The sequence below is a fragment of the Homo sapiens genome, chromosome 17, assembly GCF_000001405.40.
Source record: "Homo sapiens chromosome 17, GRCh38.p14 Primary Assembly".
Lineage (NCBI taxonomy): Eukaryota > Metazoa > Chordata > Mammalia > Primates > Hominidae > Homo > Homo sapiens.
Window position 1 is genome coordinate 9,727,271 of NC_000017.11, and position 16,068 is coordinate 9,743,338.

Genomic DNA, 16,068 nt, shown 5'->3' on the forward strand with positions numbered 1-16,068 from the left:
GTACATATGTTCCTTTTAGAAATGTGGAGATATAGGAAAGAATTAAGAAAAAAAATCCATCACAAACAGCACTGCCATGGCCCTATCCACACCTTGTTTTTGGCATCTATTTCTCTATTCTTATTTGTATGTTTTCACATGCATGCATAATACATGCACGTGTATATATTTTTACAAGTTGTATAGGTTGGTGCAAAAGTAATTGTGGTTTTCACCATATTTTTTTAATTCCATTTTTTTTTTCTTTTTTAGCCCAGGGTAGGATATCTGAGATTCTTGCATTTGAAAGGTACAAGGACCTAATATGACCTAGAAAAGCAGGAACTTTTGCTGGGCATTCCGTTTCATAGGAATATTTAAAGATAGATGAAACTGATGTTCATTCTTAAGGCTAGATGCCCGTGAGACTGAGCTTTGCCAGGTGTCTGTGCTGCCCGGCATGTAGATACCTTCTTTGGCACTGGCTTACCCTGTGGCTTCAAACGTGTAAGTGGATATTGAGGAAGAGTGGGTGAAACCGTTGCTGTTCCCCAAAGGCAGGAACCCTATGTGGCTTCTTCACTGCTGTGTCTCCAGTGCCCAGCACAGTGCCTCCCACATCAGAGGTGCTCAGTGAACGTTAGATGACTGGCATTTCAGCTGTAGGGTGGCTTGTACACTGACAGTCTCTCTGTCTCTTTCAGGAGGGTTGGAGCCCAGGCGTTTGGTACGGGGCGTGAAAGGCAGAAGCATTAGCATGAAGGCACCCACCACTTCCCGAGCCAAGCAGGGACCATTCAAGACCATGCCTCTGCGGTGGTCCTTTGGATCCAAGGAGAAACCACCAGGTGCCTCCGTCGAGTTGGTGGAGTACTTGGAATCCAGACGAAGACCTCGGTCCACGAGCCAGTCCATTGTGTCGCTGTTGACGGGCACTGCGGGTGAGGATGAGAAGTCAGCATCGCCGAGGTCCAACGTCGCCCTTCCTGCTAACAGCGAAGATGGTGGGCGGGCCATTGAAAGAGGTCCAGCCGGGGTGCCCTGTCCCTCGGCTCAACCCAACCACTGTCTGGCCCCTGGAAACTCAGATGGTCCAAACACAGCAAGGAAACTCAAGGAAAATGCAGGGCAGGACATCAAGCTTCCCAGAAAGTTTGACCTGCCTCTCACTGTGATGCCTTCAGTGGAGCATGAGAAACCAGCTCGACCGGAGGGCCAGAAGGCCATGAACTGGAAGGAGAGCTTCCAGATGGGAAGCAAAAGCAGCCCACCCTCCCCCTATATGGGATTCTCTGGAAACAGCAAAGACAGTCGCCGAGGCACCTCTGAGCTAGACAGACCCCTGCAGGGGACACTCACCCTTCTGAGGTCCGTGTTTCGGAAGAAGGAGAACAGGAGGAATGAGAGGGCAGAGGTCTCTCCACAGGTGCCCCCCGTCTCCCTGGTGAGTGGCGGGCTGAGCCCTGCCATGGACGGGCAGGCTCCAGGCTCACCTCCTGCCCTCAGGATCCCAGAGGGCCTGGCCAGGGGCCTGGGCAGCCGGCTCGAGAGGGATGTCTGGTCAGCCCCCAGCTCTCTCCGCCTCCCTCGTAAAGCCAGCAGGGCCCCGAGAGGCAGTGCACTGGGCATGTCACAAAGGACTGTTCCAGGGGAGCAGGCTTCTTATGGCACCTTTCAGAGAGTCAAATATCACACTCTTTCTTTAGGTCGAAAGAAAACCTTACCGGAGTCCAGCTTTTGATGGAGCGTGTCAGTATTGTGTGACGCTGGCATTCTTGGGACTTTGCCAAGCAACTGTAGGCAGCTCATGTTGAGAATGGGTTTCCAGGAAACCCGTTGTCTTGTAATCTCTAAAAAAAAATTTTTTTTTTTTTGTGGTGGGGGGTCTCCATATCTAGACTTCCAACACCCAAGGTCCATATAACCCAAGGTCGAAAACCTTCCTGCATCATTGGGTGCTTTGCTACAGTTTGGCCACTAGAGGATGCTATTGGGTCAGTATTACCAGTTTCAGGGCAAGAACTGATATTTACTAAAGAGTTTTGGATGTGGGCAAACAAGATGAGGCTGGTTTAATAAGAATCTTCAATGTCATGTCAAATACTGTCAATGGCTTTTCCTTTTTCTTTCTTTTTTTTTTTTAAATTGTGGACTTAAAGAAAAATATTTTATTTTTAATGCTTTTCTGGGATAAGCATTAAAGATGCCAAAAAGAAAAAAAAAACAAAAGAATGATAGTGATGGTAAGGCAAGATTCTAGCAAAGAGAGATGGGAGATAAATGGCTGAGAGTTCAGGTGAATATTTAATATATTAAAAATTGTATTAAAGTTTTTCAAGGTATTTTAAAAATAACTATTTTGATACTAGAAAAAAAGTCCATTTTTTAATTTAAATATGAGATCTATGTACAATTTTAATAAAATCCTGTCCATGAAACACGCATGGCTGTCTGAATTATTCAAGTCTGATAAATGATCTTGTTTCATTTCTGCTGAGTAAACTTGGTTCGTTGCTATTGCTATCAGAAAGTAGTTACTTGAGTTCTTTCTAAAATCTAAAAGTGCTTTTCGTTCCAATGACTTGCTGTTTTCTAAAGAAGTGGAAGCCTCCTCAGGCCATTCTCCGGAGGGCTTGTACTTGAAAAGACGTGAGTTCCACATCTGCCTGACAGACTCTTAGTTGACTGTCCCGTTTCCTAAAGCTCTGCACACTCTTCAGTAGCGACTCTTACAAATATCCTATCATTTCTTACTTAGAAGCTGCTAAGCCTGACCCCAGGCCTGGGGCTCAACAGTTGAGGTCACCTGTACTTAAACAGTCCTTCTTCTGCAAATACTTCCTTTTTTGACGGGAAACATTTGTTCTCAAAAAAAAAAAAGAAAAAAAAAAAGACACCTGATCCCAAGAATTAAGTCTTCCTTCATACATATAGCATGACTCATTGACATGTCTCTGCTACATTTTTTTTCTCTTAAGAAGGAGAATGGGCTGGGCATGGTGGCTCATGCCTGTAATCCTAGCACTTTGGCAGGCGGAGGAAGGCAGATCACCTGAGGTCAGGAGTTTGAGACCAGCCTGGCCAACATGGCGAAACCCTGCTCTACTAAAAATAACAAAAATTAGCTGGACGTGGTGGTGTGCACCTGTAATCTCAGCTACTCGGGAGGCTGAGGCAGCAGAATTGCTTGAACCCAGGAGGCGGAGGTTGCAGCAAGCCGAGATCGAGCCATTGCACTCCAGCCTGGGCGACAGACTGGATTCCATCTCAAAAAAAAAAAAAAAAAAAACGAGGAATGGAGTCCATTTTTTACCCCAGTGAAAAAGACAACTTGCCTTTGATCAGAGCAACAGTTAGAAGGTAGAACTGAGATAACAGAGAAAGGAAGAAGACCCAGCCACCTGACCCCAGAGGACAATATGTATACCAGTAAACCTGTGTGTTTGCATTGCAAAAGAAGTCCATGTTCTCTTCAAGTCTTACACTGATGTACGCGTAGGCACTGTGGAAGACATGGTTGTCCAAGTCCTCTTGGGTAAATAGGAGTCTAGGAGTCTTCCTGCTTTATCTGGTTCTTTCTCCTCTGTTGACTCTTCAGAGGAATTTGTCACATTTAGTTTCCATGCTCTTCCTAAGCTCAGTCTCCCTTTCTTCCTCCTCCAAGAGATTGGGTTGGAACTCAGACATGCACCTCCCTGGCTTCTCTCTTCTAAGGACTCAACCTTTAGAATACTCTTGGGTTGTTGGGATATCATGAGAGGGTCCCAGGCCTTAGCAGTGTTCTCTGTAACACATTCACTCCAGGCTCTGAACTGTGGAGGTTCAGGAAGAGGCAATTACACTTGACCCCTGGTGGATATATATCCATCTGGGGTCGGCAACAAGGATGCCTGAGGCACCCTTGCATCCCCTTCCCTGAGGTCGCTTCTCCCTCTAGAAGGACCCAGTAGAAGGCTGTGAGAACAGAGCATGGGAAATGGTTGAGTCCAATTTCTGCCTGGAATGGAGGCAATAGGGTCATGGTTCCAACCTTGGCCATGCATCCGATGATAGGCTGCAGGCTTCTGGTCAAGTGGTCCTTGAGGAGAAAGCATAAGAGAACCATTGGATGCTTTTTTCCTACCACAAAGATCCTGGGTGTTAGAGAAGAGTTGAAAGCCACTGAGCCAGAGAGGAGCATAGCCAGAGATGGAGCTAGCTCAGGATGGCCAAAGGGGCCTCCCATTCTTCCTCTGGAAGCTCAGATCCTCTGCCTGGATCTGTTCCTGCTGTCTGAGACTTGGTTGCCAGGTCCGACCTGCAGACCCTGGCTGAATGACAGATGAAGGAAGGCACTCAGACACAGGTATCCAGTGAAAGAGCAGGCTAGGGGATGGGCCACTTACAGACCCCGAGGAGGGTGCTGTGAAGAGTCAGCAGCTGTGGCCTCAACAAGCCGGCCCTGTGGGCATTTATTCAGCACAGGTTTAATGACAAAGGCTTTGAGTCAACACACTTGTGGGTAATCAGCATGGTCGCCCTCCCCAGAGAGAGCAGTCCTGTGCGGATGACTAAAGGCCAGGTTCCTTGTGACAGAAAACCAAACACTGCAAGTTCTCACTCATAAGTGGGAGTTGAACAATGAGAATACATGGACACAGGGAGGAGAATATCACACACTGGGACCTGTTGGGGGTTGGGGGCCTGGAAGAGGGATAGCGTTAGGAGAAATACCTAATGTAAATGACGGGTGCAGCAAACCAACATGGCACATGTATACCTATGTAACAAACCTGCACACTGTGCACATGTACCCTAGAACTTAAAGAATAATAATAAAATTTTTAAAAGGCCAGGTTCCAAGGCCTAAGTAAATGGACTTACCTAGATCAGTTTCTTTACATCCCCTTGTTATCTAACCTAAGCTTTCAGGCACCAGATAAGAGAATCTGGCTGCTTTCAGCCAAATCCTTTTCTGAAGCTTTGTAAAACCTCTCGGCCTTCCAAGAAGGTTTGCATCTTTCTACCATTTTTCCCATCACCCTGACCGATCTCCTACACTTGGTCACTGGTCTGATGGTCACAGCCCATTCCTGACTCCTAAAGAGTCGCCCAGGTTTTGAGGCCCCCTCCTTTATCCTCCACTCCTGCTCTTTTCCACTAGTGGAAGGAAGGTCTTGCAAGTCCAGACTCGGGCTGGGCAGTCATACAGGTAGCGCCAAAAGCTCCAAGGGCCCACAGGATCAGAGAAGAAAGCCAGGAAGTCTAGAGGAGGAGAGGCCATAGCCCATAGGAGTATATAATTACAGTTCTAGCTACATCTTATCAGTAGGATATCACCTGCAGTGAGGCAGCACCAGCATGATGTCCTGAGGAATGGTGAGCTAATCAAGCATGTGCTGACTTGATTTCATCCTAGAGCTGCAGAGATCGCAGTTAATAATGATGTGCGCTATAAAGACACATGCACATGTATGTTTACTGCGGCACTATTCACAATAGCAAAGACCTGGAACCAACCCAAATGTCCAACAATGATAGACTGGATTAAGAAAATGTGGCACATATACACCATGGAATACTATGCAGCCATAAAAAATGATGAGCTCATGTCCTTTGTAGGGACATGGATGAAATTGGAAATCATCATTCTCAGTAAACTATCGCAAGGACAAAAAACCAAACACTGCATGTTCTCACTCATAGGTGGGAATTGAACAATGAGAACACATGGACACAGGAAGGGGAACATCACACTCTGGGGACTGTTGTGGGGTTGGGGGAGGGGGGAGGGACAGCATTAGGAGATATACCTAATGCTAAATGATGAGTTAATGGGTGTGGCACACCAGCATGGCACATGTATACATATGTAACTAACCTGCACGTTGTGCACATGTACCCTAAAACTTTAATAATAATAAAATAAAATAAAAAATAATTACCACTGATGAGCATTTATACAGTACTTAACTGTGGGCAAGACACTCTTCTAAGCACTTTACAATATTAACTCATTTAATTCATAATAAACTTTTGAGGCAGGTACTATTATCTCTGTTTTACAGGTGAAGAAACTGAGGCACAGAGAGATTAATCTGCCAAAGGTCACACAACTAGTTAGTAGCAGAGCCAGGACTTGAACCCGGGTAATCCTGGCTCTGGAGTTCCTTCTCTGAATTACTGGAAAAAACCATGCTGCCCCTCTGAAGGTGTACTACTAACTCTGTCAGTTAAACCAAGTTGCTTCTGGTATTCTCTGTTTATCAACATGGAGAAAGATGCGTTTTCCAGATCAATAGCTTATTCTCAAATGCCAGGAGCTGTATTTACTAATTCCAGCAAGGAGACCACATCTGGTCCCACTACTTGATTAAGTCTTTGATAGATACAGTTATTCTCTAAGTCCCATTAACCTTTTGTACCAAATGGGTGAGCTGGGTAGAGATGTGATAGGAATCAGGACACAGCAGGTTTTAAGTCTTTGTGACCTGATTGCTGATTTTTCTAAGGGTGCACTTTTGCTTTTGATTCACTTCAGTGATTGGGGAAGATTTCTTCAGTGACATGGGCTTGATCCTAGCATAATTTATTCTATAAACATTTGAGAGTTCACTATTAGGCTCTGGGAATATAGTAGTAAATTAGAGAAATGGTCTTTGCCTTTAAAGCAATTTCTATCTCTCTTTTTTTTTTTTTTTTGAGACAGAGTCTCACTCTGTCACTCAGGCTGGAATGCAGTGGCACAATCTCGGCTCACTGCAAGCTCCGCCTCCCGGGTTCACGCCATTCTCCTGCCTCAGCCTCCCGAGTAGCTGGGACTACAGGTGCCCGCCACCACGCCCAGCTAATTTTTTTTTTTGTATTTTCAGTAGAGACGGGGTTTCACCGTGTTGGCCAGTAAGGTCTCGATCTCCTGACCTCATGATCCTCTTGCCTCGGCCTCCCAAAGTGCTGGGATTACAGGCGTGAGCCACCGCGCCTGGCCTAAATCAATTTCTATTCTAGTTGGAAGAGACAAAGAAACAGTAAACATAACCAAGGTAATTTTAGGTACTATAAGTATTATGAAATTTAATGGGATCACATGCAACTTGGCCGCATTGGGGAATGGCCACATTGGGGAAACCAATGTGGGCATTCGGTTACTTGCTGAGATCAGTCAACTAAACACTCAGAATATTGAAATATCCTAAGAAAGAGCCTCGTTTCCACTGGGCCTGCCAAGATGCAAACTTAGGTTAGGAATCCATTTATCACCTGGCCACCATAAGCACCTGTTGAGACTGACAAAACTCAGTGGTGTTCTGCCTTCCTGGGGCTTAGTGTCAGTACGAGCAAATGGCTGTCATTTCTTTTGGGAATGGCTGGGAGAAAGCTTTATGGGGCAGATGTGGAGTCACAGAGAATTCTTCCTCGATAGTACCCAGCCATCCTGTCATTTAAGGGAGTCTGGATTCATGAACTGAATCAGGTCAGGGAATTAGATGAAAAGTTAAGACTCTTCAACGCAGGTTAGATATCTAGTTTTCTATGCGTGAGCATTTTTGCTTTGAAATAATTAAGAACTGAGTAGCAGCTGGGTGTGGTGACTCATGCCTGTAATCCCAGAACTTTGGGAGGCCGAGGTAGGGGGATCACCTGAGGTCAGGAGTTCAAGACCAGCCTGCTCAACATGGAGAAACACCGTCTCCACTAAAAATACAAAAATTAGCTGGGCGTGGTGGCACATCCCTGTAATCCCAGCCACTTGGGAGGCTAAGGCAGGAGAATCGCTTGAACTTGGGAGGCAGAGGTTGTGGTGAGCTGAGATGGCTCCATTGCATTCCAGCCTGGGCAACAAGAGCAAAACTCTGTATCAAAAAAAAAAAAAAAAAAAAGAACTGAGTAGCCTGGCTGTGAATTTAACTTCTGGAGCACCAAGTCACGGCCAGCATTCTCTGCATGTCATACCATCCCTGGAGATCTAATTCCATGACTGTCCACCTTACCTCTAATGGTTAATTGCCATGATCTGGGCTTGGCCACTTTGGGCTTCTCCTGTTGCTCCCAAGATCAAGACCCTATTTGAACAGCATCCCTATCCAGCAGAATTCCTATTTAACTTGAGTACAGACATGAAGTGCTATATATTTATTTATTTATTTATTTAGAGACAGGGTCTTGCTCCGTTGTCACCCAGGCTAGAGAGTGCAGTGGTGCAACCATAGCTCACTGCAACATCAACCTCCTGGGCTCAAGCAATCTGCCCACCTCAACCTCCCAAGTAGCTGGGACTACAGGCACACACCACCGTGCCCAGTTAATTTTTTGGTATATTTGTAGAGACTGGGTCTCCCCATGTTGCCTAGGCTGGTCTTGAACTCATGGGCTCAAGCAATCCACCCGCCTTGGCCTCCCAAAGTGCTGGGATGACAGATGTGAGCCACTGTGCCCAGCCCATGAAGTACTTTTTAAGGACCTCTTTGCTTACTTCATTTTATCTGTCACTCCTGGCAAGGATGAAGCACTGGGGGATGTGAGAAGTGGTGTGGGGGCAGAACACAAGGGAAAGCCACACCACCCTCCCTGCCTGCTGAAGCTTTTGAATTCCTGCCTTTTAATTGGTGTCTTTTGATTTCATTTCTTTATGGCCACAATTAGGTCTGAATTGTGTTAGCCAGACCAGCAAGCCCTTAGAATCATAGTAGGCTGATTTTCAAACTAGATCTGTAGGTGAATGTATTCATATTAATACATTGAGTCATATCCCAAATTACATTTTGTCTGTCTTGGCTGACTACTCAAAAAATTCATCCCCTGAAAAAATTTCCCCATTTTAAGAAATTTCTGTTTTCTTTTCTTTTTTTTTGAGACAGAGTCCTGCTCTGTCGCCCAGCCTGGAGTGCAGTGGCATGATCTTGGCTCACTGCAGCCTCCGCCTCCCGGGTTCAAGCAATTCTTGTGCCTTAGCCTCCCAAGTATCTGGGACTACAGGTATGCACCACCACGCCAGGCTAGTTTTTGTATTTTTAGTACTGATGGGGTTTCACCACGTTGGGCAGGCTGTTCTCAAGCTCCTGACCTCAGGTGATCCACCCGCCTCAGCCTCCCAAAGTGCCGGGATTACAGGCATGAGCCACCGTGCCCAGCCCCCATTTAAAAAAATTTCTAATGCTTCTCCTAGATAGCCCTCACTGCACCTCCCCTCCCATTCCAGCCTCATTTCATTCTAAAAGCTGTGCTGAATTCTGACTTTGGTTACTAAGGAAGAAACAATGAAAGATGGGGCATGAGGGAAATGATTAGCCTTTTCCCAAAAAGGGAGCTATAATTTAATCAGACAGGAAGTGAAATTGGGATAATTTTAGAAAAGACCAGAGACTTAACAGAGTACTAGCCTTTTGAATCCTCCCAGATATCCCAATTTCAATGGTCATATCCCACTCTTTACCAAGCAATTCCTTACCTTTCATATAAGAGACCTGGAAAAATTGCCAGTTCAACCAGCAGCCAGCAGCCTATGGAATCTACAAATTTATTTCTCACTGAAACTGAGTCTTGAGATTTATTTGCATACTCTAAATACAAGTCCTTTTCATAAGTATCTTTGAAATAAGTATCTTTGAAGTATATTTTTCCAGCCTGTGACTTGTTTCGTAAGAATCTTTGAAACATATTTTCCCAGCCGGTGACTTGCTTTCTGATTATTTTAATATAGTCTTCTGAGGAGCAAAGTTTTTGAGTTTGAAGCAGTCCAATTTATCAATTTTTTTTGGTAGTTTGTATCTTTCAAGGAATTTGCAAATTTCATCTAAGTTGTTCAATTTATTGGAACAAAAAGTCCCAGTATTATTCTGTGGGAATCTGTCTAATCTGTAGTAACGTTACCTTTCTCATCCTGGACATTGGTAACTTGTGTCTTCCCTCTTTTTTGCCTGATCACTCTGGCTAGAAGTTTATCAATTGAAAAAAATCTTCTCAAGAACCAGCGTTTGGGTTCCTTGATATTGTGTGTGTGTGGGGGGTGGGGGGGTGGGTTTCTCATTTCTATCTCATTTCTGAGATTGCTGTTTTTATGTCTATTATATCCTTTCTCCTAATTAATTTGGATTTAATTTGCTTTTTCTATTTTTTTTAGTGAACACTGATGTAACTGATCTGAGATCTCTTTTCTCTTTTCATTTTTTTTCTTTTTTTGTAGACAGAGTTTTGCTCGTTGCCCAGGCTGGAGTGCAGTGGCGCGATCTCAGCTCACTGCAACTTCTACCTCCCGGGTTCAAGTGATTCTCCAGCCTTAGCCTCCTAAGTAGCTGGAATTACAGGCACTCGCCACCACGCCCGGCTGATTTGTTTTTGTTGTTGTTGTTGTTGTATTTTTTAATAGAGACAGGGTTTCACCATGTTGGCCAGGCTGGTCTTGGAACTCCTGACCTCAGGTGATCCACCCACTTCGGCCTCCCAAAGTGCTGGGATTACAGGCGTGAGCCACTGCACCCAGCCCTTTTCTTCTCTAACATAGACATTTAGTGTTATAAATTTCCCCAATTCTCCAAATTCCATGTTGTGTTTTCATTTCCATTCAGTTCAAAGTACCCTCTGATTTCCCTTTTGATTTCTCTTTTGACCCATGGGCTATTCAGAAGTATGTTTTCAGTCCTGAGGGCCAGAAATGGTGACTCCATATTCTTCTCTGGTGGTGGAAATGTGAGATTCGAATGTTGCGTATGACGATGTGCCCACCCTGTGGAAATGCTGGTCTTCATCGGAAGACAGTGAGATGGAGCTGCAGAGAGAAGAGGTGGGAGACACACTGGAAGTATTATTCTCTTAGTCCATTTAGTTCCCACCTGGGCTAATATTTCTTCATCTTCGCCCATCTTATCTTTTTCTTCTTCTCTTCTGATGTTCTCTTTCCTTTGCTCATTTATCTAGGTCCCTCCATTTAGTCCATTTTCTGGATGAAGAACCCAAGTTAGTGACAGAATACTGAAAAAAATGTAAGATCAAATTTTAAGAACATGTCGCCCCCACCCTTCTTTTTTTTTGAGACGGAGTCTCAATCTGTAGCCCAGGCTGGAGTGCAGCGGCGCAATCTCGGCTCACTGCAGACTCTGCCTCCCGGGTTCAAGTGATTCTCCTGCCTCAGCTGCCCAAATAACTGGGACTACAGGCGCCCGCCACTACCCCCAGCTAATTTTTGAATATTTAGTATAGACGGGGTTTCACTGCATTGGCCAGGCTGCTCTCGAACTCCTGACCTCAGGCGATCCGCCAGCCTCGGCCTCCCAATGTGCTGGGATTACAGCCATGAGTCACCACGGCTGGCTGAACAGTCCCCTTTTCAATAAGGTATTTTGGGGTTTGTCTTCAGTAGTGGCGCTTTTCTTTCCTTACCTGGCATGGTGTCTACGAGGGGAGTTGTGGCAGCCCTCAAGGGTCTTTTAGTAAAAGTCCTAAGTTCCCATCTAGGGTTAGCTATTAGTTACATGGCCTTATGGCAAGCAAATGGATGCTTGTGGGCCTTGGTGTGTTCATCAGTAAAATGGGAACTCTGCAGTGATGAGCTGTAGTGGGCTCCTACCAGTTCCTGAGAGCCAGTTGTTAAAGATTCGGGAGCTTCACGAGTCTTGAAATCAGCCATGGCGGAATTATTTACGACAATAAAATCAGCAAACGTTACAAATTAGGACTTTTTTTTTCTTGGAGAGCACAAGACCAGCACACCACTAGAATTAGGATACTGTCATTTGACACCTCACCGGGTTTTTTAGGAAAACATCTCTGAAAGATGAAGAGTTTGCATTTGCAAAGGGATGATGAACATGTGTTTTGGAATCAGCCAAACGTGGACTCATACCCTGCCCTGCTACCCTCTAGTTTGTGACCTTGACAAGTTCCTTCTTCTGACTGAGCCAGAGTTTCCTCTACGTTGAAGTGACAGTAATACCCATCTAGCAGTGGTGATGTAAGAAATTAGTCAACAGTGTGAACTGTTAACACTGAATAAATAACTGGCTGCACTTTGCAAAGAATAAAACATCATTTATTTGGAAAAGATTATTAAGGGATGATCTGGGCCAGGTGTGGTGGCTCACGCCAGTAATCCCAGCACTTTGGGAGGCCAAGGCAGGCAGATCACTTGAGGTCAGGAGTTCGAGACCAGCCTGGACAACATGGTGAAACCCCATCTCTACTAAAAATACAAATATTAGCTGGGCGTGGTGGCACACTCCTGTAATCCCAGCTATTCGGGAGGCTGAGGCAGGAGAATCACTTGAACCCGGGAGGTGGAGGTTGCGGTGAGCCGAGATTGCGCCACTGCACTCCAGCCTGGGCAACAGAGTGAGACTCGGTCTCAAAAAAAAAAAAAGTTTCTGTGGAACTGTTGCTTTCTTTAGTTCCAGCCTCCATGGGTGGGGATTGACAGGTGGCAGGCCTCGCTGGTTATCCAGTCATTTCCTTTTTCTGCAAGGCCTCAGAAAGTACATTAGTATCACTACCACTAATGTCACCACCACCACTAGTATCACCAACAAACATTTACTACTACATGCCAGGACCTGCTCCAAGGGCTCTACATAAATGAACTCATTTATGCTTCAAACATTCCTATTACCTAAATAATACTGGTAGCTCCATTTTTCAGGGGTAGAGGTAGAGACACAGAGAGTTTATATTCTGCATTTGGATCATATTTGACTATTTTTGATCTACCAAAATGGCAGTTTCATGGGGTTCAACCTAATAACGTGATCAGGGTCATCCAGTTGGTTGTAGGAGGGCCAGAATCTGCTTTCTATGAAGGCAACACTTTAAGCAAATGACCATAGGGGTTTTTTGTTGTTGTTGTTGTTGTTTGTTTTTGTTTTGTTTTTTTTTGAGATGGAATCTCGCTGTTGTCTCCCAGGCTGCAGTGCAATGGTGCGATCTTGGTTCACTGCAGTCTCTGCCTCTCAGGTTCAAGCGATTCTTCTGCCTCAGCCTCCTGAGTAGCTGGAATTACAAGTGCCTGCCACCACGCCTGGCTAATTTTTGTACTTTTAGCAGACATGGGGTTTCACCACGTTGGCCAGGCTGGTCTCAAACTCCTGACCTCAGGTGATCCACCTACCTCGGCCTCCCGAGGTGCTGGGATTATAGGCGTGAGCCACCATGCCTGGCCGACCATAGGATTCGAACAGATATCATGAAAGATGAAGAGGGCAGGAAAAAAGTAAAGAGCAATGAGTCTCATAATTTATATCATTACATCTTAATGATATAAATCGAGATAAAATACAGTTGGATCACGGAATACTATGCAGCCAGAAAAAAGAATGAAATTATATCCTTTGCAGCAACATGGATGAACCTGGAGGCCATTATCCTAAGTGAACTAACTCAGAAGCAGAAAATGAAATATCTCATGTTCTCATTTATAAGTGAGAACTAAATGATGGATACACATGAATGTAAAGATGAAAATAACAGACACTGGGACTTCAAAAGAGGGGAGGGCATGAGGAGATTAAGGGTTGAAAAATTACCAATTGGGTGCTGGAAGGGCCAATTCAATGAATACCTCACTCACCATGCTGTCATAGATATTTCTACCTTCTTTTGTAATTGTTTTTCTTTTTTTTTTCCAATATTTGGGTGATGGATACACTAGAAGCTCAGTCCCCACTGTTACACAATATACCCATGTAACAAACACACATTTGTACCCCTGAATCTAATATTTTTAAAAGGAGATAAAACACAGTTGAAAACTTAAAATATTGGCCAGTTGCGGTGGCTCATGCCTGTAATCCCAGCACTTTCGGAGGCTAAGGCGGGTGGATCGCTTGAGGTCAGGAGTTTTGAGACTAGCCTGGCGAAATGGTGAAACCTCTTCTCTACTAAAAATATAAAAAAATTAGCCAGGCATGGTGGTGCATGCCTTTAATCCTAGCTACTCACGAGGCTGAGGTGGGAGGATCGCTTGAACCTGGGATGTGGAGGTTGCAGTGAGCTGAGATCACGACACTGCACTTCAGCCTGGGTAACAGAGTGAGACTTTGCATATGTATATACACATACATATATATGAACAAAGAACAAAGTTTAAAATATTGTGTTAAATGAATATGATTGAAACAGAAGTGATACAAAAATAGAGAATAATGTAATAATAAATTGAATGTAAATTTTTAAACTGTTTCAGCAAAATCAAGCCACAAAAGGGGGCTATCTAGACAAGACAGGCAAAGTACAAATCTGGCAGTAGAGACAAGTTCCCAAGCCCCTTGCTCTCCTTATTTCCACTGATGTGGTTATCTTTGAGTTTGGCAATTTTAGTGTGTGGTTCTTTGCTTTCAATTATCTTTCAGAGAGCAGTCTGTGTGTTCAATCTGGCTTCTAGATGGGGGAAAGCCTGTGAAGTTATTTCCGGGCTGGAAGGGCCAATTCAATGAATACCTCACCCACCATGCTGTCACAGACATTTCTATCTTCTTTTGTAATTATTACTATTTTTTTTTTGAGATGGAGTCTCACTCTGTTGCCCAGGCTAGAGTGCAGTGGTGCAATCTCAGCTCATGGCAAGCTCCACCTCCCAGGTTCATGCCATTCTCCTGCCTCAGCCTCCTGAGTAGATGGGACTACAGGTGCCCGCCACCATGCCTGGCTAATGTTTTGTATTTTTAGTAGAGATGGGGTTTCACCGTGTTAGCCAGGATGGTCTCGAACTCCTGACCTCCTTGAACTCCTTGGCTTCCCAAAGTGCTGGGATTACAGGTGTGAGCCACCGTGCCTGGCCTAATTGGTTTTTAGTTACGTACCACCATACTAAAGTTATTGTTTTGCTACTTGCTTTCTTTTCCAACTTAAAATTTTGGAGCTTTTCCCAGATCTCTATAGATTGGCCCTATAGATTCTTTTCAAATGTTGCTTATAACTTCTTAATGCAAATGAACCATAGTTTGTCCCCCAATTCAGGAGCATGTAGATTTTTTTTTTTTCGGACACAGGGTTGAACTCTGTTGCCCAGGCTGGAGTGTGGTGGCATGATCTCGGCTCATCGCAACCTTGACGTCCCAGGCTCAAGCAATCCTCCCACTTCAGCCTCCTGAGTAGCTGAGACTATAGGCATGCACCACCATACCTGGCTAATTTAAAAAAAAATTTTTTTGTAGGGATGGGGGGGTCTCACTTTGTTGCCCAGGCTGGTCTTGAACCCCAGGTCTCAAGGGATCCTCTCACTTTGGCCTTCCAAAATGCTGGGATTACAGGCGTGAGTCACCGTGCCTGGCCATAGATTGTTTCTAAGCTTTTGCCATTGAAAACAAAAATGTCCTAAAAAGAAACAGTGTCCTGAACATCATTCTTTATATATCTTCTAGGAGAAAAACTTTGTCTTGTTACATTAAATTATGTTCTGGTGTGAAGGAATTTACATATTTAAAGATATCTTTTATTGGAGAAAGAGAGTGGCTAGTGGGCGAATGTAGAGGGAGCGTCCTCAGGATGTGGCCTGCCCTTTTGCAGATGCCGACTACTGGAGTGTGTTATTAGCCTTGTAATTTTCTCCGATGTTTGCCATGAATGAAGCACTTGAGCTGAGTATCAATGATAACGTTTTCAGAATGGCATGTGTCTCCTTGGGTTTGACATTCCCATTCTCTCATGTGCTGTCCCTTAGACAACATATTCTCCACGACAACCTTTTTTTTTTTTTGAGATGGAGTCTCACTCTGTTGCCCAGGCTGGAGTGGAATGGCGCAATCTCGGCTCACTGCAAACTCCACCTCCCAGGTTCAAGTGATTCTCCTGCCTCAGCCTCCAGAGTAGCTGAGATTACAGGCACGTGCCACCACGCCCGGCTAGTTTTTGTATTTTTAGTAGAGATGGGGTTTCACCATATTGGCCAGGCTGGTCTCAAACTCCTGACCTTGTGATCCGCCCACCTTGGCCTCCCAAAGTGCTAGGATTACAGGCGTGAGCCACCACGCCCGGCTGACAATCTCTTGTAGGTGACCTGGTATCTTCATTTTCCTTTCAGGGACTGAGGACGCTGGGCAAGACACCGTCAACACAAGGCTCTTCACCAGCCTGGGGGAAAACCAGACATCCGCATCCACACCTGAAACAGGGCAAGCCGCCTCCTGA

The 16,068-nt window shown here is 44.9% G+C and overlaps 1 protein-coding gene across 7 annotated transcripts in view, besides 2 other annotated features; it reads left to right on the forward strand.

Annotated features, from left to right (window-relative positions):
• USP43 (ubiquitin specific peptidase 43) overlaps positions 1–2,417 on the forward strand; it is an 84,428-nt gene extending 82,011 nt beyond the window's left edge. For all 7 annotated transcript variants that reach the window (XM_017024159.3, XM_047435319.1, NM_153210.5 and 4 more), the window contains one exon: positions 684–2,417. In XM_017024159.3, the coding sequence (XP_016879648.1) occupies positions 684–1,720 (1,037 nt within the window). In that variant the 3' untranslated portion in view covers positions 1,721–2,417. The remainder of the gene's footprint in view (positions 1–683) is intronic.
• Positions 355–855: an enhancer, noted in NCBI's record as "H3K4me1 hESC enhancer chr17:9630942-9631442 (GRCh37/hg19 assembly coordinates)". NCBI's record gives its function as "activates a minimal SCP1, AML or CMV promoter by ChIP-STARR-seq in primed H9 embryonic stem cells {active_cell/tissue: H9 hESC(primed)}" and the evidence as "EXISTENCE:reporter gene assay evidence [ECO:0000049][PMID:30033119]".
• Positions 856–1,356: an enhancer, noted in NCBI's record as "H3K4me1 hESC enhancer chr17:9631443-9631943 (GRCh37/hg19 assembly coordinates)". NCBI's record gives its function as "activates a minimal SCP1, AML or CMV promoter by ChIP-STARR-seq in primed H9 embryonic stem cells {active_cell/tissue: H9 hESC(primed)}" and the evidence as "EXISTENCE:reporter gene assay evidence [ECO:0000049][PMID:30033119]".
• Positions 2,418–16,068: the final 13,651 nt, after the last annotated feature.